The 22,173-nt window shown below is 56.2% G+C and overlaps 1 protein-coding gene across 6 annotated transcripts in view, besides 5 other annotated features; it reads right to left on the bottom strand.

Moving 5' to 3' along the window:
• EPHA8 (EPH receptor A8) overlaps window positions 1-1,465 on the bottom strand; it is a 40,107-nt gene extending 38,642 nt beyond the window's left edge. For 3 of the 6 annotated variants that reach the window (XR_946576.3, NM_020526.5, NM_001006943.3), the window contains exon 1: window positions 1,225-1,465. Coding sequence is in view for 2 of the 6 variants with exons in the window: in NM_020526.5 (NP_065387.1) it covers window positions 1,225-1,318 (94 nt within the window). In the remaining 4 variants the exon portion in view is untranslated. Of the gene's footprint in view, window positions 1-1,011; window positions 1,128-1,224 lie in introns of those variants that run through there. The other 3 variants (XM_011540969.2, XM_011540972.2, XM_011540970.2) reach the window with 1 other exon arrangement.
• Window positions 427-927: an enhancer, noted in NCBI's record as "H3K4me1 hESC enhancer chr1:22890520-22891020 (GRCh37/hg19 assembly coordinates)". NCBI's record gives its function as "activates a minimal SCP1, AML or CMV promoter by ChIP-STARR-seq in naive H9 embryonic stem cells {active_cell/tissue: H9 hESC(naive)}" and the evidence as "EXISTENCE:reporter gene assay evidence [ECO:0000049][PMID:30033119]".
• Window positions 7,365-7,946: an enhancer, noted in NCBI's record as "H3K4me1 hESC enhancer chr1:22883501-22884082 (GRCh37/hg19 assembly coordinates)". NCBI's record gives its function as "activates a minimal SCP1, AML or CMV promoter by ChIP-STARR-seq in naive H9 embryonic stem cells {active_cell/tissue: H9 hESC(naive)}" and the evidence as "EXISTENCE:reporter gene assay evidence [ECO:0000049][PMID:30033119]".
• Window positions 7,947-8,528: an enhancer, noted in NCBI's record as "H3K4me1 hESC enhancer chr1:22882919-22883500 (GRCh37/hg19 assembly coordinates)". NCBI's record gives its function as "activates a minimal SCP1, AML or CMV promoter by ChIP-STARR-seq in naive H9 embryonic stem cells {active_cell/tissue: H9 hESC(naive)}" and the evidence as "EXISTENCE:reporter gene assay evidence [ECO:0000049][PMID:30033119]".
• Window positions 9,111-9,694: an enhancer, noted in NCBI's record as "H3K4me1 hESC enhancer chr1:22881753-22882336 (GRCh37/hg19 assembly coordinates)". NCBI's record gives its function as "activates a minimal SCP1, AML or CMV promoter by ChIP-STARR-seq in primed H9 embryonic stem cells {active_cell/tissue: H9 hESC(primed)}" and the evidence as "EXISTENCE:reporter gene assay evidence [ECO:0000049][PMID:30033119]".
• Window positions 10,391-11,024: an enhancer, noted in NCBI's record as "H3K4me1 hESC enhancer chr1:22880423-22881056 (GRCh37/hg19 assembly coordinates)". NCBI's record gives its function as "activates a minimal SCP1, AML or CMV promoter by ChIP-STARR-seq in primed H9 embryonic stem cells {active_cell/tissue: H9 hESC(primed)}" and the evidence as "EXISTENCE:reporter gene assay evidence [ECO:0000049][PMID:30033119]".

Below are 22,173 nucleotides of genomic sequence, written 5' to 3'. Positions count from 1 at the left end.
GGCCCTCGGTGAGCTGTGTGTGAAGGGCAGATGTGTGATCTGTCTGGGCGTGGAAGAGCAGCACCAGCTCCGGAGTTCGCTTACACCTGGAAGTTCATCTTGGCAGGGTGAGGACCCAGCTCTGGTCCCTGGACATCAGCCCTGGGAGCCTGCACAGAGACGCTCTGGCTTCCTTGGGGCAGAGCTGTGGGAACAGAGGAGGGTCAGGGCAGGGGTTGGGGTGTGGGGAGTGGGACCCAGGGAAACCTCCTGAGCTGGATGGAGCTGGGGTCTCCAGGGAGCTAACGGGTGTGTGGGTGGCAGGCTTAGGTGCTCCCTCTCAGCTCTTCTTGTGCCCCCACCACCAGAAGTCATTTCCCAGACCTTTTTGGTCCCAACGACTCAGTGCACCTCCCCACCCCAATCCTTCCTCCCACACAGGGCCCCAGAGTGACCCTGCCATCCCAGCCTTCTCTGACAAGACTTTGCTCTCCGGGGCCTGCCTGCCTCAATCTCTCTGTGGCCTCCCCATCCCCCAGCCCTCTCCTCCCCAAGCCGCTCCCGCTGCCCACGAAGCTGCCTCTCCTCCAGCTGGAACTCCCCTGCCCTCCCTTCTTCTCCCCAGCCCGTCGCCAGACTGTGGCCCTCGGGCCCTGACCCCTCTCCCAGACTCTCATTCCGCACCCCTCCTTCCTGCCTCCCCTCAAAGCCAGTCCTGCTCTCCGGGGTCCCGTTTCTCAGCGCCTGGCTCCTATCTCTCAATGCTGTCCCCACCCCCTTTGCCTTCTGCCCTCTGAACCTCCTCCCCCATTCTCCTGTCCCTCCAACCCCAGTGCCTACCCCCCTGTCCTCTGTCCCCAACCCTGTTCCTTGCCCTACCTCACTGTACCCTCTCCTCCTTACCTCTTCTCTTGTCTTCTGTCCAGTCCTGTCCCCTTGTCCCCGGCGTCCGACCCTCAGTATTCTGTCCCCAGCTGCACATCCCTCAGTCCTGTCTCCTGTCCTTTCCCACTGTCCCCCAGTCCCCGGTACCTGTCCGTCTTCCTCAAGCTCGCGGGTTCCCATCTCCACCGCTCTGTCCCTTAATCCCGGGTCTCTTCCGCGGTGCCACCCCGCCCCCCGGGCCGAGGGATCCCGGCCGCCTTGGAGCTCAGGGTCCATGCAAAGGAAGTTGAGCCGCAGGCAGCGCGCGCCGCGCCCCGCGCCCCTCGGCCGCCCCTGCCCCGCCCCGCCGCCGCCGCTCACCTTCGCCGCGCGCCGCGGACACGCAGGTGGCCGCCGCCGCCGCGGCCGTGACGACCCAGAGCGCAGGGGGCAGGCGGCCCCGGGCGGGGGCCATGGCCGGGCCGGGCCGGGCGGGCGGGGGCGCCACGCACCCTCGGGCTTGGCCGCTGCGGCCCGCGCGTCGGGAGGGAGCGCGCTCCCTCGCTCTCCGCACACCCGGCCGGGCGCACACCCCGGCGCACACGCGGCTCCCAGCGCACACGCGGGCACCCGCGCCCGCCGCCGCCGCCGCCGCCCCGGGCGGGGGCCGGCCCGTCACGGCGCCGAGCCAATCAGCACCGAGGCGGGGGGGTGGGGGACACGGAGCCCGCACCGCGGCCACCCGGCCCGCGGCCACCGCCGCCGCACGTGCGCACGCCCACACTCCCCCGGCGGGCACCTTCGGGGGCGCGCCCCGCGCTGCGCACTTGGACTCAGGGCTCAGGGCCCCAGTGCGCGAAGCCACCATCGGGACGTCCCGGCGACACCAGGACCAGACCCACCCAGGGATTCCCTCTGTGGACACACGCGCGGGCCGCACATCCACCGCATGCTCGCTCCTGCCCGCATGACCCCAACACCGAGTGCTTCGCGTGGTGACACACTCCGATGGATACACACTAGTTCATGGGCAGAGGCTCAGAGATGGGCTCAGCGGCAAACTCAGAGGCACTTTTAGGTGAAAAACCAAAAAAACACCAAAACCAAAACTCTCTCCCTTTCCCCACCCCAACAACTTGGCATTTAGGGACCACGGGATTTTAAGGAGGCCTTAGATTGCAGTGGTCAGGAGGGCAGGCTCAGGGACCAGGAAGACAAGTGTCCTGCTGTGTGGCCTTAGGCAAGTTTCTTAAGCTCTCTGAGTCTAAAACTTCATGTCTGTAAAACAAGAATACCAGTATCGATATCCTAGGGTGGCGTGAAAGGGCCCAGGTGGAACTCCTGGCAGACGGCCGGGCACACAGCCAGGTGGCCGGTCATGGGAGCTGTTATCCAGTGAGGGGGACTATCATTCCCTGCTTTTCCCTCCCCTGACCTTCCCTGTCTCCAGTTCCATCCCCCAGGACTAGGGGTCTCATCCAGGGATGGCTTTGGGCTGTGAGGGGAGGACAGGGATATAGGGCTGCATCCTGGGGCCTGCTCTGCCACCCTCAAGTCCCTCACACACCTGGTGGGCCAAGCAGTCCGAGAAGCAGGCAAGAGACCTGCAGCCTCCTGAGAGGGTGGATGCCCACGGGAGCAAGTGCCTGATTGCTTCCCACTGCCGCCTGGCACAGACCATCGTCCAGTCCCCTCTTCCTTCGTTCCCAGCTCTCATGGTCACTGGGGGGTGAGGAGAATTGGAGCCATGGCTGGAAGTTACATAGGATGAGAAAGGCCATTTGGGGAACATGTGCCCTGAGTCAGACCCTGCTCTAGGGGCTTTATAAACTCGCTCCAGTTTAAGCCTCACACAGCCTTGCAGGGCTGGCACACCTAAGGAAACAGAAGCTCAGAAAGGCCATCATTTGCCTTAGATCACACAGCTGGTTGAATGCTAGAGAGGTACTCAGATCCACAGCTGCTTGGCTCCAACGCCCGTTTCTTTCCTCTGTGTCTTTTTTTTTGCTACAGAAAGGGGGAAGACAGTTCCATAGGAGCCCCTTCCTCGCAGCTCAGGTGGACTGCCTCACTGATGTAGTGAGACTCCTGTGACCAGAGGCATTTAAGCAGATACTAGCTAGAAATTGTTCAGAGATGCTGTAAGAGGGCAGGTGAGTACAAAGCAGATTGGACTAGACCCAGAGTGGCAAACTCAAATGCCTACATGAGATAGGCAGGCACCCTTACAGAGCCTGCTAGGAGAGTGTACCCAGATCCAGCCAACATTGCTGGTGGAGATGTGTGTCCAGTTTTCTGCATTTTCAAGAAAAAGTTGTCTATCTGGAACTTATTTGTGTTACGTCTTGATTTTTAAGGTTGGCAGCTAATGTAAACATTTTAATAACACCATAGTGTAGGCAGACCTGTGAGTAGGGTGGCCGTAGCCCACAGGCCTCCGGGCTGTGCTTCAAGGCTCATCAGATGGAAGAATCCATGGCTGGGAACTCACTCCTGGGGTGTCAGAGAAGTGGGCAGATGAGAGGCGGAAAAACGCAGACAAGGCGAGGCACGGTGGCTCATGCCTGTAATCCCAGCACTTTGGGAGGCAGAGGCAGGAGGATCGCTTGAGCCTAGGAATTTGAGACCAATCTGAGCAACATGGCAAGACCTCATCTCAACAAAAAGTTGTTTAAAAATTAGCTGGGCGTGGTGGTGCACACCTGTGGCCCCAGCTACTCAGGAGGCTGAGGCAGAAGGATTGCTTGGGAGGCTGAGGCTGCAGCGAGCCATTAGTGAGCCGTGATTGTGCCATTGTATTCCCGCCAGGGAGACAGAGCAAGACCCTATCTCAAAAAAGAAAAGAAAAAGAAAAAAATGCAGACAGTATGCAGAACACAGTCACAAGCACTCCTGGACATCCCCTACTCCATCCCAGGCTCACAGAAAGATTTGTTGGTGGAGAGAGGCTTTGCTGGCGGTTGGGGATCTGCATCCCCACATGTATGTGAAGCCAACCAAATCTGGGTTTTGCCCATTCTGTAGGTGAGGAAACTGAAGAAAGCCAAGTTTTCTGGACCTGGGGAGTCCTTGAGGGACTTGGTGGGCATGAGGGATGGTTCTGAGTCAGAAGTCTGCTCTACATTCCAAAGCTCTTTAGCAAAATAAGGAATTCATTTTGCCAATGTTCCGTGGAATGCTAAGAGCAGCATGCTTTCAGCTGTCTCCCTGCCCCCTGTGAAACTCCCAGGATGCCCCAGCCGAGGTGTGCCCTCTCCCTGGGGTCTCTCTCTCCCACCCCTCCCCTCTGCTGTTCTGGGTTTCAAAGGGGCAACTTGCCCATCTGCCAATGGGAAGGAAGAAACTCTTAGAGGGGCAGGTGATCTCACTGGGCTCTTGGGGACATGACAGTTCCATAGGAAGACAGTTGACCTTGCATCTGTTTACTTGACCTTCCATCCTCCCTGAAGGGTCAAGCAGTACAGGGCTGTGGGGAGAGCCTCAGAGGAGGACTGGGGCAGGCTCCCCGCTGAGGCGAATCTTCCCCAGCTCCACCACAGCACTGCGAACACCATCCAGGCTGGACTCGGAATGCCTTTTCTCATTGAATCCCCGCAATGCATAGATTTCACCCATTTTAAAGAGAAGCGCAATGAGATTTGAGAGGACTGATGGACAGGGAGCCCTGTGAGGTGCATGGGTGGAATCCCTGATGCTTGCGGCTTCTTTTGTCTCCTCTCCCCAACTGGATTCTGAACTGCTTGAGAGCAGAGTCCATGGCAGGGTCCTGGCTGGGTCCCGCTGGGTCCTCCTGGTGCACTGTAGACGCTGCAGGAACGTTTGCTGAATGACTGAATGAGCAGCTGTCTAAAAGGGCCACACTCTGCAGGCCAAGTATGCCAGGTGAGCATGGCTAGAGTTACAGGACAGTTGGATAGCTGTTCAGGTGTGCTAGCTGTACCTGCCAAGTGGGTTTGGCCTGAACCCTAGAGGTGAATCTGAACAGTGCTTTCCCTCTCCCATCAGTACATCGGGACCTTGTTCTACAAAACAGGCAAGCTGGGGGCAGCGGTGGGCAGAGCTGGGCTTGGCAGAGCAGGGCAGCCTCTGAGTCAGTCCTTCCCCACTTTCAACTCCTCCCTGACCCATGTCTTTTCCTTCTGGAAGGGGGAAGAGTAATTGCAAAGAACATCAGACAAGCCTCGTCTATGTGCAGACGCTCCCAGATGTATCTCTCCTCACTTCACCTTTCTGAGCCTCAGTTTCTCCAGTTATAAAATGAGGATAATGCCAACAACTCACAGGGTTGCTGTGAAGCGTAAGTGAGTTCACAGATGCAAACGTGTTTGGAAACCTATAACGAGATCTAAGATTGGAAGGCATGGTTACGTGCTAGAGGAGGGGACTGAAGCCCAGCGGCTCTGCGCTCTGCGGGCGAACTAGGCCGGGTGCCATTTTAGGCCCAGGTAGAAAAGATGTTCTGGTAGAAGACAGATGTGTAGGAGTGTGAGGGGTCAAGTCGGGGCAGTGGTGAGTGGTTAAATCTTCACCCATCCTTGAGCCACCCTGCCCTCGGCCTGGATCTCCTGTTGCCCACCCAAGCTGTCTCGAAACTCCCACCCCACATCCCAGAGCAGGCTTGGTTCACTCTGTGAGGGGTCTCAAAGGGGACAGGGCTTTCCGGACACTGGCATCTAAATCTCTCCCTCTCCTCTGGCTGGAAGGTGGAGTCATCGGAGATCTTGGAAGAGACCTACTCCTAACACGAGGCCCATGTTGCTTTCCCGCTTAGGGACTCTGCTTTTCCACCTATAAGGTTCCTTCTCCAGCTGTTTTCCGGAGTTGCAAGGGGAATGGAGCTTGGCACTGGCACTCCACCGGGCTGCTGCTGGGGTTCCCTGGTAATAAGTTCTGACTTTGCCCTTGAAGTGTCCCAGCCAGAAACAAGTGAGGAAGTAGCTTATGTTGCGTGGGAGAGTTCCACGCAGACCACAGGGAATGTGTTTAAACTTTGTACTTTGCCTCTAGAGTCAGGGCAGAAGGGTCTAAGACTGTCCCGTCTGATAGAAAGACAGTGGTGTGTGCCACATATGTAATTTAAAATGTGGTTAGCATCACATTAAAAAGTAAAAAGAAGGCTGGGCGCGGTGGTTCACACCTGTAATCCCAGCACTTTGGGAGGCCGAGGCAGGAGGATCACCTGGGGTCAGGAGTTCAAGACCAGCCTGGCCAACGTGGTGAAACCCCATCTCTACTAAAAATACAAAAATTAGCCGGGCATGGGAATGGGCATCTGTAATCCCAGCTACTCGGGAGGCTGAGGCAGGAAAATCACTTGAACCCAGGAGACAGAGGTTGCAGTGAGCCAAGATCGTGCCATTGCACTCCAGCCTGGGTTATAACAGTGAGACTCCATCTCAAAAAAAAAAAAAAAAAAAAAAAAGAAAGAAAGAAATAGGTGAAATTAGATGTAAGAATATGTTTGTTGATTGAGTGGTGCCTGGTATGTAATATTAATTTATTACTAAATTCACTCATTCAACAAATGTGCGCCGGGCACCCCCTGTAGCACCGTGCCAGGTGCTGGAAGAGGACAGCGAGCCACACAGACACAGGCCTTGTTCTCACAGCATTTCCGTCTAACAGGATAATTAAATAGGCAATTACAAAACCCCCTTCCACATAAGGGAATGCTTCAGAAACTATAAGGCACCAAAACTTAAAACGTACAATTTAAAATGTTATCTCCAAAAAAGTCCTTTTTTTTTTTTTTGAGACAGAGTTTTGCTCTTGTCACCCAGGCTGAAGTGCAGTGGCATGATCTGGGCTCACTGCAACCTCCACCCCCCCGGGTTTAAACAATTCTCCTGCCTCAGCCTCCTGAGTAGTTGGGATTACAGGTGTGTGCCACCATATCCAGCTACTTTTTTATATTTTTGGCAGAGATGGGGCTTCACCATGTTGGCCAGGCTGGTCTCGAACTCCTGACTTCAAGTGATCCACCTGCCTTGGCCTCCCAAAGTGCTGGGATTACAGGCATGAGCCACCGCGCCCAGCCCAAAAAAGTCCTTTTTAGGCTTCAAGTACTGAATGTGATTTAGCCTATTCTTAGCGGTTGAGAGTCATGACTATGAACCAAGAATCACTGAATCTTGATGTGGAAAAAGACCTAGAGTTCGTCCAAGCCCCTGCTTGTGGAGTATGAGACAGAGGTGCCTTCAGGGCCACTGGGCTGGGTGGACTTATTTGCCCTGGCATGAAACGCCCAGGCTTGAATGAGTTTCTATCTCTTCCTTCTCCCTCAGGCTGTCAGCTGCCTTTTCTGTCTGCTGCAGGTCTCCTGCCTCTGACAGTTTCTAACTGCCTCCTGCATTGTGGTTTCTATCTCTTGTGGACTTTGAAAATAAAAAGGAATGCTTGTTAGAATTTTTTGTAGAGTAAGAGTCAATGGGCTATAAGTGAGCAACTGCCTTATGGGTAGAGTGTGAGGTTAGGGCCGATGGTGTGGCTGCCCAGAGGTCTCTTCTGCTTACTCCTGGCGGTTCTCCAGACATTTGTTCTCGGGTTGAAGGGTAAGGGAGGTGTTGTTCTAAATACATAAGAGGCTTATTAATGGCCAGGCATGCACAGACTAATTGCTTCCTGCTGTTTACACATAATCAATCACGTCCACAGTTTGGAACCACTAAGCAAGCAGCAGAGCAGAGTGGAAAGATGACTGGATGGGAAGGGGCCTCAGAGGTCTGGGCTGCTCCATCCTTCACATTCAAGTCTGTCCTGTCCTAACAAACCAGAACGAAAGCCTCCCTCACTCGCCTGCCTTCTCCCTCTCTCCTCCCCTTCCAGCAAACTGCTGTTCTCACGGCCTCCCCATTTCCTTCTCTCCCGGTCTCCCCTCCACTCTGCTCATCTCCCAGTCCCTGCACAGCCCTAGATCACCTCCATTACAGTCCCTGCACAGCCCATTGTCACCTCCACAGCCCTTCAAACACCACCTGCCCTTGCCCCAGATGATGCCCTGGGCCTCTCCCAGCACCATGGGCCGCCCAGTTGCACAAGTCAGGAAACTGTTCTTTGTCTCTGTGCCTCCTTCTCCACCAGCCACGTGGCCAGGACAGCCCAAGTCATGTTGCTGATACCACCTGGACATGTCTGGAGTGTGTCCATGCTTCCAGCCTGATCTCCATCTCCACCGCCATCAGCCTGCTCTAAGCCTCCCTCACCTCTCACGGGGACAGCTACAGTGGCCACATCCCTGGCCTCTGTGCACACCCTCTGGCCCCTTCCAGCCGCTAGCCACACTGCAGCCAGGAAGCCATTCAGTGCACAAGGTCATGGTCAGCCCTGCCCCTGCCCTCCCCTCCTCTGACCTGATTGGAGCTTTTCCAGAGCTTTCCATCGCTCTCTCTCTGGATAAAGACCCAAATCTTTATCACACCTGCAAGTGCAGGGAGAGAGGGGCGGGGTCTGGCCCCTACCACCTCTCCAGTCCCCGCCTCTCCCTCCCCAAGCTTTCTGGAAGGTACTGTGCCCCTCCTTGCACACGGCCTTTGTCTCTACTGCTCCCTCCTTCAGCCTCTCCTCCCCACCACCCCTCACTCCTCCTTCAGCTTGGCTCAGGCAGCCAGTCCTCAGGGAAGCCACCCGCCCCTGCCCCGCCCCCTGGCCCAAGTCAGCTCTGTCCCAGAGCCTCGTCTGTCTCAGCGGCACTCTTGGCTGGGGCTGGAATCCTACCTGGATTCCTCAGCTGGCTCCTTGATTCTCACCACCCTCCTGGGGAGCAGGGGCCCCTTCTGCTCTCGCTGGACACCAGCTCGTCAGTGCCCGGCCGGCAGGTTGCCCTCCACAAGGGAGGCCCTGGCTCCTCCTTGAGGCCTGGCCCAGCCCTGGAACTGAGGCTGGATTGTCTTTGCCACTGCCTGCCTGTGTGACTTAAGGCAAATCACGTTACCTCTCTGGGGTGCTGCTCCGCATGGGGGAGGGCCTCCAAGGGCTCTCTGCATCTAGGATAAAATGACAGAATAGTCACTATTCTTATTAATCTTAATAACAATCCTTTGAAGCGAGTTCTATTATTATCAACATTGTCTCTATGTAAATGGGGATCAGGCAGGAGGGGGGAACGTGACGTGTCCAAGATGCCACAGCTATTAAGTGGCCAAGTCAGGATTCGCACTCAGATCTGTTTGGTCCCAAAGCCCAAGCACATAGTCATGAGATAGTTGGGGCCAGGCAGCAGGGGGAGGACTCCAAGCATGGAGAAAACCTGGGTGAGGGGCCAGGTCGGCACTGAGGACCGAGCAGGTGCCACGTGGGTGCTGGGTTATTGATTTGGGGGTTACCAGGTGGGTTGGCTGACCCTTCCCTGGCCCCTCAGACTTCTATGGGGAAGGTCAAGGAGCTCATGGCCCCGAGGAGAGGCCGAAATCTCAGTGGGTGGAGCAGGGAGGTTCTGCCAAGTCCACGGGTCAAAGCTGGCTTGACTTCTAAGTGTGAACACGGGGCGGTGCAGGGGCCCTCCCTGGGGACAGCCAGGGTGACAGGGCTCCCAGGAAGCGGCTGAGGAAAGTCTCTAGACTGTTGGGAGGCAGCAAGGAGCTCTGGAGTCAGACCTGGTTTAATAAAAACCCCATGCCTAACCCTTCCTGTGTGCTGTGTGGCTTTGGGAGCTCACTCTACCTCTCTGAGCCTCAGTCCAGATCTATAAAATGGGGCCACCACCCCCTGTCCTTTAGGGTTGTGAAGATTAAAAGGATGCCTGGCACAGAGTTGGTCTTCGGGCTTCACAGGACCTTTGCCCGCCTCTCCCTGCCCAGCCCCAAAGCCGCACCCAGGGAGCAGGAGGGAGAAAGCCTCGGCTGGGTATGAGAGAGAGGAGCGTTAATGTCCCTGATATTCAAAAACAACCGTATCACCACTCTGCCTTGTTGGGGTGACAATGCATCGGCATTCTCACATATGGGAGGAACTCTGTGCACGCCAGTGTTTTCTAGAGAGACAGACAGACAGAACGAGAAGGAGGGGGAGAGAGCGCGCGCGCGCGCGTGTGTGTGTGTGTGTGTGTGTGTGTGTGTGTGTGTATGAGAGAGATGAGAGAGAGAAAGAGCAAGCCAGTGCCTGGGTGACAGTGACTTGTGTGTGGGGGCGGGGATTGTGTGGGTGTGAGTGGGTGGGTGGTGGTGAGGGCACCTCTCTCGAGCAAGGGAATGGTTTAAGGAGAGTGACTTGGTAATACCCAATACCAAATGTATTGAGATGCTAAGCAGCTCTAAAGATCTGTGTCTGATTCTCATTCAAGCTGCCGAGGCAGAGGGCGTGATGGGAGGGGCAATGGCTCCATCACTGCAGGGCAGGTCTGATTTCAGGAGCCAGAGCCAGGATCATGGCCAGCACTGGAGCCACCCCCACCCACACCACCGCGGCCGCCTTCCCAGCCACTGCCACCATTGTCGTCACCACAGGCAGTGCCACACAAGGGATGCTCTGGCCCCTGTGTTAGGCCATGTTGGTTGCTGGACATCAGGGCCTCAGTCCCCAGTGCTGCAAACGAACGGAGGGAATGCCTGCCCAGTGCTCTGCATTTGGAAGTCCCCCTCCCCTGCCTCCTGGGCCCATGTGCTCATCTGTCACATGGGCAAAGAAGACCCCTGTCCCACCTCCATCCCGTTCCATCCACCCACATTTTCTGAGGCCTGACAGTGTGGAGGACCTGTGCTGGGTGCTACATACTGGTGACACATAACCCGCCCTGCAGACACTCCTAATCTGATGGTTCAGACAGACTTATGTAGACCATTTCCTGGCAATGAACAAGCTACTGTAGGCTCCAAAGGAGGGAGAGCTGAACAGTGGTGTGGGCGTGGCGTGTATGGAAGGACGAAGGGAGCGATTGCAGGGCCCAGAGAGGGAAGGTGACTTCTCCCAGGTTGCACAGCCAGCAGCAAATCTGGGACCAGAACCCAATCTCCTGGCTCCTCATCCAGGGCTCTGGCTGCTACCTTGGGCCATCTCACCATGGAGCAAGCAGATCATGGAGAAGGAGCCAGGCTGTGGGTCTGTTCACTTGTCAGCCTCGGGGGAAGGAGGGATAGGGGAGTCTGTGTGCTGATCCCCAGCAGGGCAGGTGGAAAGCAGCAGCCGGAAGGGGCTGTCATCTATGCGGTGCCCAACATGAGCTGGGTGCTTTGCAATTCCCCTCCTCCCCTCACCTCTCACCAAGGCTGCTGGGGCATCACATCATTAGGCTGCCCAGAGTCTCAGAGCAGGGGAGCAACCTGTCCAAGGTCACCCAGCCAGGAAGCAACCGAACTAAGATGTGAACCCTCCAGCCCGCGTATGTCCCCTTGGCCAGAGAACTCCCTGGGGCAGGTTTGTTGGGAGGGAGATAGAGGGTCACTTGGACACTGGAGACCCATGTGGTTCAGGGATCACCTAGGAGCAGTTCTCGGGAGTCTAGTTTAATTTGGATTTGTCCCAAATGCAGGGTTACTCCCTCGGATGCGAGTGCAAGAGGGGGTGAGAGCCCATTTCCGCCCTGACTGCAGCACCCAGGGCCGCTGGGGACCCAGGCTGTCTGGATCCCAGCCGATCTATTGCCAGTCCTGGCCCAAGGTCATTTTTTCCGGGAAGAAAGGCAGCTTCTCAGTCTAGCATGTCCCGCCCTCCCTGGCTGAGCTGGGAGCTGGGGCGAGGCTGAAGGATGTTTCTGGTGAAAGCAGATTACCTCGTAAGGGGGCTGGCTGGGTGGGATGGCACTGTGGTGGCAGGTCCATCAGATGTATCTCCATGGGGATGTTTCCTAGGCTGCTGGTGACAGGCCCCCACCTCAGGCTGTGGAGGAACTGCTGCTGAGGTGGAGACAGTCTGGCCCCATGCCTGGGCTCGGCCTGCCTCCTCTGTGGCCTCACGGGCAGGGGCCCAGCCTCTCTGATGCCTCCTCCCAATAAACCCCAGAAATCGCCCAGGGACCAGCCTTGTTCTAGCTCGAGCCCATCTATTGATTCTGTCCCCTCGTTAACTCCATCACCTCCCTCTCTCCTGGCCACTGCCTCTGGGTGGCGGGGGCAAGGGGGGGTCTTCCTGCCTCCAGGTGCCCCACCTCCAATTTCGCCTCCAACCACAGCCAGGGCCATCTTTCCAAAGCAAGATACTTCCCTTGGCATCACCTGCAGCGATCCCACTGCCTTAGGAGGAAGCCCTGGCTAAGTGGCCTGAGAAACGAAGCCCTTAATGGCCTCTGCTTTGCTCCTCGCAACATCTTGGACTCCTGTCCTTTCTTCTCTGCTCTGGGCTTGCTGTGGGCTACTCCTTCCGCCTGGCACCCTCCCCTCACCCCGCCACTTCCGACAGGGCCTAACTTGTACATCTCCTGCAGATCTCAGCTTGGACATCACCTCCTCCTTGAAGCCTTCCCTGAACTGAACCTCTGAAGTCTGGATGGGTGCCCCCCCAGGCCCCCTGGCCCTCACCCCTTGGTCATCCCATCATCATAATGGCTCACTGCGATCAGACTCTCAGGGGGAGCGGGCTGTGCCAGGCGTTTTGCCCACACTGCCTAATTCCATCCTGGCACTGACTGCAGTGTGGAAAATGCGATTGTTCATCTCACCCACCAAAGTGGGAGTGCCTGATGATCACCCCTTAATGAAGGAGGGAGTTGGGGAGGGATGCACTCAAAGGCAGGCAAGTGGCTGCTGTGGCTGAGTTCAAGGATCCCGACTTAGCCAACACCCCACCCTCACATCCCACCCTGGATATCTTGGCTTCCTGGGGACTGTTCCCAGGTTCTGGGGATGCCAGCTCTGTTCAGATGTTAGCTTAAGACCAGCTCTCCCAGCAGCTCCTCCAGGCCCCAGATCTGAGCCACTTCCCAGGGAATGCAGCCAGGATTCACAGCCCTCTCCTCTCTGGTTCTCCCCCCTCCACTTCCCAGTCCCTCTGCTGGCCCCTAAAGTTACTGGCCTTCCCCAGTCACGACCTCCTGGCTTTCAGATGTCACCTCCTGGTGGTCCTGGATCGCCATCCACACTTCAGAAGCAGCCTCTTGGCCCACCCGGCCTCCAGCTCGCTGGCTCTATGGAGAGGTTTCAGAGAAGGGTTTCTGACCTTGGACCCCACCCAAGGCCCCACCCTGCCCTCAGTCTGCACCTGGGCTTGTTCTGTGGGCCTGACCCCCTACCAGAGCTTGTGAACTCAAACGCGGGAGCTCAGCGCTCTGGCCCCACCTCCTCTCCCCATCACTGCCTAGGGGCTGGGGGCGCTGGGGATGATAAAGTCGTCTGGGAAGAAGGAAGCTAAAGATGTAAAGGAGCCCATGAAATCCCCGTTGACAGCCGTGACCACTGTGGCTCCAGCCATTAAACACGGAGCTTTAACGGCCCCCAAAATACACCTGGGGCGCTTGTCAGCGGCTCCTGCTCATCACATGTGCACATGCGGGCCGTGCACAGGCGTGCGTGCCTACACGGGCTCAGCGAGCAGCACAGAGGGTAGCATGGGAAAGCCCAGGAGGTGGTGCCACAGCCCCTTGGCTTAGGGATGGGATACTGGGGGTGGAGAGCAGACCTCCTTCCATAGTCTGTCCCTCGTGGCCTCCCCACTTCCACGTTACACTTTATATTTTCATAGCACTTGCTCATTCCCTGCATCCTTACAAAAAGGTTTTGATGTCGGTCGGATGCTATTCAGTATCTGCTTTCCTCTTGTTCCTCGGCATAGCCCCCGAGGATGCAGCACACACCTGGCACACAGCAGGCACGGGGCCATGGCTTGCTGCCCTGGTACATCCTGTTGCCTTGGCCATCAGTGAAAACCCCTAAACCAGACCCTCAGGCTTCAGCTGAGTTCCACGTGGTCGTGTTGAAAGCCCTGGATGGGAAGCCCGGGCTCTGGGTCCCGGCCTTGCTGCTAACTTCTGTGTGACCAAGGCCTCCCTGTCTTTGGGCCTCGGTTTCCTTATCTGTAAAGTACCTGTCCTGCCCTGGTCATAGAAGCATCCTGCGGATGGCTGGCTGGAGCCGAGTGGTGGGTGTGGGCAGCCTGTGGTCCCTGCAGCCTGGGCAGAGATGGTGGCCTGGCAGCTGTGGGACTGCAGAGCCTGGGGTGCACTCAGGGCCGAGGAGGCCCTGTGGGGACAGGGTGCTTCCTCTGTGGGCAATCGTTTTTGCTCAGACAGCGCTAGGCTCGAGGCATATGGTAGAGACTCAGGGAAGGTTTCTTAGGCCTGAACTTAGCCACCAAATCCCATTAGAGTGAATCTTCAGGAAACATTCAGGAATCCCTTCTGGGCCATTCCCCACCAAGATAGTACAGTGGCCCAGTTCTTGCTTCTCTCTCCAGCCGAGGGTCTCACCACTCCTACCTCCCCAGCTCCAGGGAAGAACCATTCTGAACTTCCCACTCCTGTCCACCAAGGACTCTCTGGTCCCCTCAGCTGCTTCCCCAGCTGGCGCACTCCTCTCCTGCTTGCCCTGGCCCTTTGCCTGTGAACTCCACTTCAAACGACCCCAACTTCAGGTCTCCACAGCCTTCCCTGCTTCCGTTATCTGGGTCAGGTGTGTCCTTAGAGCTGCCTCAGCCTCCTGAATGTCCACATCACAGAACTCATCACAGCGGCACAGCCATGCTGCGTGGTGTCTCTTCTCCAGGCCCTGGGGACTTGAGGGGGGCCGGGTGGTGACTTCTTCAAGGCTTGGCCTGGCACATGGTTGGGGTCCACACAGGCTTGCTGAGTGAATGAAAGACCCCAGGGCAACTCAAAGTTGGCAGGCTCTGGCACAGGCCCTGGTCATAGCAGCATCCTGTGGATGGCTGTCTGAAACTGAGTGGTGGCTGGGTGGCTTCCCACTGGCTCTGCAGCCACCCAATGCCTGACACGTGTGGTCATTTCTAGGGCCGGGGCTGCTCCGTGGGGCCGCTGCTTTCACGGTGTGCTCCACTGACTGTGCCACAGGCATGCTTGCTTGGGGGCCATCCTTCTAAGACGCCAGGCACGGGGTCGGGTGGGACCCATGGCAACCAATCCCTCCTGGGCACCTTTTCCACACACAGCGGGCCTTTCCCTCACGTCCCCGAGGGCTACAGGGCTCAATCCTTCCATCTCAGTGTGGGTTAACTTTGCCCTCTCCAGGGGTCATCAGTCATAGATAACAGGAGGCAGGGTGTCAAGGACTTTTATGTTTAAGTTCCTGAGTAGAAAACTGCCTGTCATTGCCTGGTGGTGGCCTGTAATAAGACCAAATCCCCAATGGATGATCTGTGATGGAAAAGGTCAGACTAGGGTGGGCAACGGGTGATGGGGGAAAAGCAGGCAGGTCCGGCTGGAAGGGATGGAGACCCCAGGCAGGCCGGCCATGTGGTGACAGCCCCGTCTGGCAGGCCGCCCCCTTGGAAGGGACTGACTATAGGGTTAGGGTCCTGGAAAGGGCAGGCAGAGGTGACCAGAAAAGATTTAAGTGCAGGCAATTGGCAAAGGGCAGGCTCAGGACAGACCTCCAGGCCTGGGGTTGGGGACCCAAGAGGAGAGACTGGAAAAGAGGCTGGGGAGACGGTAGGTGGGGGAAGAACCGCGAGCCAGTTACTTAGCTTCTTGGGCTCCATTTTTCTCATCTGTAAAATGGGGATAATAAGAGTAGCTTCCAGCTGGGCATGGTGGCTCATGCCTGTAATCCTAGCACTTTGGGAGGCCGAGGGAGGTGGATCACTTGAGGCCAGGAGTTCATGACCAGCCTGGCCAACATAGCAAAATGTCGCCTCTACAAAAAATAAAGAGTAGCTTCCTCATAGGGTTGTTCTGAGAATGGAATGAGTTAACATAAATACAGCTCTTCAAACAATGTCTGGCCGGGCACGGTGGCTCACACCTGTAATCCCAGCACTTTGGGAGGCTGAGGCAGGCAGATCACTTGAGGTCAGGAGTTCGAGACCAGCCTGGCCAACATGGTGAAACCCCGTCTCTACCAAAAAATACAAAAATTAGCCAGTCGTGGTGGTGCGCGCCTGTAGTCCCAAATACTTGGGACGCTGAGGCAGCAGAATCACTTGAAGCCGGGAGGCGGAGGTTGCAGTGAGCCGAGATCACAGCACTGTACTCCAGCCTGGGCGACAGAGCAAAACTCTGTCGCAAATCTCTGTCACAAAACAAACAAACATAACCAAACAAACAAAAACAATGCCTGACACGTATTTGCTGTGCCTGTTATTATTAATGACTGCATGTGTTGTTGCAACTGTTACTATTATACGAACAATGGTCATTTATTGAGCAGCAAGGATGTGCTGGGTGCTTTTCATGCAATACCTTACTACACCCTAGGGATAAATACTCATATCCCGCTTTGCAGAGGAGGCCTAGAAGGATGAGGTCAGTTGCCCTGGGTCACACGGCTAGGCAGCAGCAGAGAGATGGGGACCTGGAAGCTGGTGTTTGACCCCAGAGCCCACAGTCAGACCTCTGCCCCAGGGCTCCTTTCTCTGTGCGGCGGTGGGATCTTGGTCTGGCAAGGGTGGGGGCTGACCCAGAGAGCCTGCTGTGAGGGAGCCCCCAGATAGTAACCATCAGTGCTGGGCATGTCTGGGAGGGTGGTTGGGAGGAGGGGCCCCCACTCCCAGGCCCCAGGATAGATGCCCTGCCTGAACCCTCCTTCTACCATCTCATTTCCAACAGGGACTCTTTTAAGAGCAATGACCAGCTTGCTAGCGGACTTCAAAGATAGTATTTGATGAGTTTTAGCAGCTTCAGCAAAACTCTAATTTGAATTTCAGGCGCTGGTGTGTGATTTCCTCGGTGACAGCTCCGAGGGATGCTTGGGCTCGGCTGTCATCCAGTGGGGCTTCTTGCTGGCTGCCGCAGCGCCTGCCTTCCCAAGGAGGAAAGGCGGGAGGCCGAGAGGAGCGGGGCGCCACTGAAGCTGGGGAGGAGAGGCGCAAATAAGTGACAGGGAGAGAGGGGTGTGGAAGGGAGAGGGACATGGGAGCAGATGCAGAGGGACAAGAAAGAGGGAGAGAGAGAGAGAGAGATGGAGAGAGAGGGAGAGAGAGCAGGGGAGGAGAGGTAGAGAGAGGGGTGGAGAGAGAGAGAGAGGGATAGAGAGAGATGGAGAGAGAGCAGGGGAGAGAGAGAAAAAGAGAGATGGAGAAAGAGAGATGGAGAGAGAAGGAGAGAGGGGGAGAGAGAGGGTGAGAGAGAGAGGGAGAGGGTGAGAGAGAGGGAGAGGGAGAGAGAGAGATGGGGGAGAGAGAAGAGATGGAGTGGGGAGAGGGAGAGAGAGAAAGAGAGGGATGGAGAGAGGGAGAGACAGGGAGGAGAAGAGAGAGGGATGGAGAGAGAGAGGGGGAAAGACAGGGAGGGAGAAAGGGGGAGAGGGGGGAAGAGAGAGATGGAGAGAGAGAGAAGGAGAGAGAAATGGAGTGAGAGAGGGAGGGAGAGAGAGAGGGACAGAGAGATGGAGATAGATGGAGAGAGAGAGGGACATGGAAGAAGACGCAGAGGGACAGAGAGAGATGGAGAGAGAGACGGAGAGAGGGAGAGGGGGAAGAGACAGATGGAGGCAGGGGTGCGAGATGGAGAGGGAGGGGGAAGAGAGAGACAGAGATAGAGGGAGACGGAGAGAGACGGAGAGAGAGGGGGAGAGATAGATGGAGGCGGGGGAGAGAGATGGAGAGAGGGGGAGAGAGAGATGGAGATAGAAGGAGACAGAGGGAGAGAGATGGAGAGAGAGAGGAGGAGAGAGATGGAGAGGAAGAGAGAGACAGATGGGGAGAGAGAGAGAGAGAAATGGAGAGAGGGAGAGATGGAAAGAGAGAAAGAGATGGAGAGAGAGATGGAGAGAGAGAGAGCAAGAGAGAGAGATGAAGAGAGAGGAGAAGGCCAGGAGAGAGTCAGAGTATGAGGGTGAGATTGGGGGCCTTGGGGAGAGACAGCAACAGAGAAAGGAGATGGGAAGAGAAGAGCCAGAGGAGAAAAGGCAAGAGACGTGTGGAGAGAGAGATAGAGAGAGACAGGCAGCCAGAGAGAGGCCAGAAGAGACTGACCAGTCAAGCTAGACTGAGGGAGAGGGCAAGAGAGACCCAGATAGACAGAGGGACCCGCAAGGAGCTGGAGGGCAGAGGCAGAGACAGGGATTCAAGGAAGGCTGTGGGGAGCAGTAGAAGGACCAGGAGGGGAGGGAGGCAGAGAGGCAGGCTGAGGACAGCAGGAGCACCTGCTCAGTGCCAGCCCCATGGATGTGGGGCCTGGGGTCCCAGCAGGAACCAGACAGGCAAGATCCAGAGGGCCGTGAGGGGGCCTGGGCTCGGGCATCCAGTGAGAGAAGGAAGTTCAACCTCCCAGCCCCCGTTCCCTCCCACAGCCCCACTCCCACTTCAGCTGTTGCAGAGTCCTGCTCAGCACAGGTCTCCCCACCACCCTGACCCCCAGCATCAGGCAGTTTGCAGGCAGGAGCTCTAATGCCCGAAACCAAGGCTGTATGTGGGAAGGGAGTTTATTTCCCAGGTAGCCCTCCCGCTCTGCCCTACACACACACACACACACACACACACACACACACACACACACACACCTGGGAAGAAGGGAGGAAAGGGAGCGACTGAATGAAAGAGGGATCTAGGAACAAGGAAAAGAGCCACTTCTTTTTCTGAGCCTCAGTTTCCTCCTCTGTAAAAATCAGGATCTGAATAGTGCACATTTATTTATTTATTTATTATTTTCTCTCCTCCTCCCAAATTGGTTTTTTTTTTTTTTTTTTGAGACAGGGTCTTGCTCTATTGCCCAGGCTGGAGCGCAGTGGTGAATTCACAGCTCACTGCAGCCTTGAACTCCTGGGCCCAAGTGATCCTCCCGACTCAGCCTCATGAGTAGCTGGGACTACAAGTATGAACCACCATACTCAGCCTCGAATACTACAAATTTCACAGGACTCTTGGGAGGGTAAAATGAGATGATTTGTGCCAAGGGCTTAGCCCAGCACCTGGTTCAGTGGATTCTGAGCTGAAGGGACACCTCCTCCCCCAAAATGGAACCCAGGTTCTAAGATCGATTTTCCCCACGATGTTGCCTTTCCTGGGGGAAGAGGGAGGCAGTGCCCTTCTCCCTTTCCATCTCCTCCTCCCACGCGGGGCACGGTGAGAAGCCTTCTGGAGGCTGCGCGTACCTTCACGGCCAAGACTCCTCACCCTCAGAGCCCAGCTCTTGGTGTCACAGGCTTTGTAACTGCCATACAGGCTGGCACTCAGTCAGGTGGGTAGGGACTGGGAGAACGAGGGCAGCCCACAGCCCCAGGAAGGGTGAGAGGAAAGGCTGGGGGCAGAACAAGACAAGAATTCTAGAACAGCATTCTCCAGTACGGTAGCCACCAGCCACATGTGGCCACTGAGTGCTTGAAATATAGGTAGTCTAGATAACATACATTATTGAAATTAATTTATCTTGCTTCCTTTTACTCTTCTAATACGGCTATTAGGCAATTTAAAATGACACACGTGGCTCACCTTCTATTTGTAGGGGATGGCACTGTCCCTGTTCTGGAATGTCTGAGTTGGAAGAGTCCTTCCATGCCAGAGACTCCGAGCCTCCACTGCACAGGCGGGGAAACTGAGGCCCAGAAGAGAAAGGGAAAGGAGTGTTCGGAAGGCTTGAGCTTCTGTCTCGGACACAGCCGGAAAGAACAAGCACTGTCTCCTCTGGCGTTAACCGGGCTTACGAGTTCATTAGGACGAGATGAGAAGGCATAATTTCTGAGAGTTCAAACAACTGCCAAGTGGATTAGGAGCTTGAAAAGCCTCCTGCCAGGGCCGTCAGAGGAGCCCGACCTCGGGCCCGAGGCCTCACCAAGGATGGGGCCAGAGAATTAATGACGCCACAGCTGCTGAAGGAGTGTGTTCATTTTACAAGCTGCAAAGGGGGAAAAAAAGGGCGAAGCTGAACTGTGGACAGTTATGAAGTCTGCAGAGCCCTTACCTGGCTTAATAAAAGGCAGAATGAAAGTATTGAACATAAGACCTGCTCCACGCCTAAGCCCTCGGGGGACCCAGCGGAAAGCGGTGTGAAGAATGAAGCCACCGACCTGAGCAGAAGCTGGCTGGGTGACTTCGGGCCAGTCTGTGAGCCTTGCTGGGTGCAGCACCCTCATTTGGGGCCCAGAGTCTAACGGTGCGAGCTTTGGAATCAGACAAACTTGACCACCAGGCTCTGCCACTTCTCAGTGACCCGGAGCCAGGCCCTTAAGTTCTCTGGGGCTCTATTTCCTCATCCAAAAAATGTGCAGAACGCCTAGCTCATGAGTGGCTGGGGCGACCAAGAGGATGACAGACCGTGTTTCGCCACCACCAGGCACGTGCTCAATGCTCTTTCGTGCAGCAAACGTGTATTGGGCACCGCACTGGTCTAGGCACTGGGAACCCAACCATGAACAGTGAACAAGACCGGCCAGGTCCCTGCCCCTGTGGGGCTCTCAGAGACAGGCCAATGAGTAAAGAAATTTATAAAACTTTTTTTTTTTTCTGAGATAGAGTCTGTCTCTGTCACCCAGGCTGGAGTCCAGTGGCGCGATCTCAGCTCACTGCAACTTCCGCCTCTCGGGTTCAAGTGATTCTCATGCCTCAGCCTCCCAAGTAGCTGGGATTACAGACACATGCCATCATATCCGGCTAATTTTTGTATTTTTAGTAGAGATGGGGGTCTGGCCATGTTGGCCATGTTGGTCTCGAACTCCTGACTTGAAGTGATCCACCTGCCTCAGCCTCCCAAAGTGCTGGGATTACAGGCGTGAGCCACCGCACCCGGCCTATAAAACTTTCGATCCTGCTAGGTGCTCTGTAAAAAACTAAGATGGTGAGAGGATGGGGAGTGGCATGGGACTGTTCGGGGGAGTGTGGACAGTGAGGGCTCTGTCCACACTGTCGGAGAAGGTGATGTCTGAGAACCCCAGTGTCAGTGAAGGTCTCTAAAGACTGCAGACCTCAGACTCACCTCACCCCGTGAGTGCTCTGATGCCAGACTCAGGGCTTCGATCCCTGCTCCACCTCCTAATACCTGTATGACCTTGGGCCAGTTACTCTCCAAGACTCCATCTCTTCACTTGTTGAATGGGGAAGACAGCACTTGCCTTGGCTGCTCTGGCCTTCCTGTGAGGACAGCCACGTGGGCAGTCCACACCCAGATGCCGACTCTGACCTGGCCTGTGCTGCTGAAGCAGACACAGATGACCGCAGTAGAGCCTAAGTTCAAGGATCAGGAGAAGGACAGGGTGCAGAAGCAGCACACAGGAGGACTTCCTGGAGGAGGTGACATCTGAGTCACGGCTCAAAGTGTCAAAGTGTCAGCAGGTGTTGGCCAGGAAGAGGCCAGGGAAGGGCCCTCTGGCACGGGGGCAGCACATGCAGAGGCTCAGTGAGGGAAGGGCCACGCTTCCTTCTTGCCTCAGAAATGGGGCTGGGCAGAGCTGGTGGGAGGATGGAGGCTGCTGGTAGTCTGCTGACCTGAGAGCGAAGTCCGAGGCAGGGGAGAGTGAGTGACGAGGCTGGAGAGGTCGGGTCTCAGAGGGCACTGTCTGGCTAAGCTACCAGGGTTTCATCTCAGGCGCTGTGGGGGGTGAGGGTGGGCCACGGCGTGGCCAGATCTGTGTCCTAAATACATCCCTCTGACAGTTGAAGGCCTGTGAAGACAGCTCCAGGGCCCCGTGGGCCTTCCCTTTCCCGGCTCAGGGTCTCTAGGGCCCCCAGCTGCCACTGAGCCATCTCCTTAGCGTGTGCTCTGCTTGTAAACAGCCCCCTGGAAGAGTGATGGATCGTGGCTCTCGGGCGGACAGCCCAGGGCCACCCGTGAGAAAGCTAAGCAGAGGGCCTGTAGGGCCAGCGCATCCACCTCCCCTGAACCACCCCTGCCTCTCCCCGCTCACCCCATCAGTGCCATTGGGATACGATCCTGGCTCCCTCTTACAACAGGTGTGATCTTGGGCAAGTGACTCACTTCTCCATGCCTCAGTCTCCTCGCCTGTAAAATGGGGCAGAAACCTCTCATCATAGGTGTGAGTGAGCTCACAGATCTACAGGCTGTGGCTGATGACATCTGTGGGCCTCTCCTGCCCTCTCCTGCCTGATCCCCATGTGAAGTGGTGGACGGGGCGGGGAAGGGATTTTAGAGGTAGGGAGTCGAGACTGAGAGGGAGCTGGCCTCTCCCAGGATACTCCACACATTAAGGGCATAGTTGGGACCGAGACTCCGTTCTTTTGGCACCTGGCCTAGAATTCTTTCCATTCTATCAGGTTGCCATTAAGATACATCTTTCAGGTTGAGGGACAAGGCTTTAATGGGGGGATTCCAGCATCTTCCAGGCACTGGCGAGAAGGTATACT

The sequence above is a fragment of the Homo sapiens genome, chromosome 1 (genome assembly GCF_000001405.40).
Source record: "Homo sapiens chromosome 1, GRCh38.p14 Primary Assembly".
NCBI lineage: Eukaryota > Metazoa > Chordata > Mammalia > Primates > Hominidae > Homo > Homo sapiens.
This window is presented reverse-complemented; position numbering and strand designations above follow the sequence as displayed.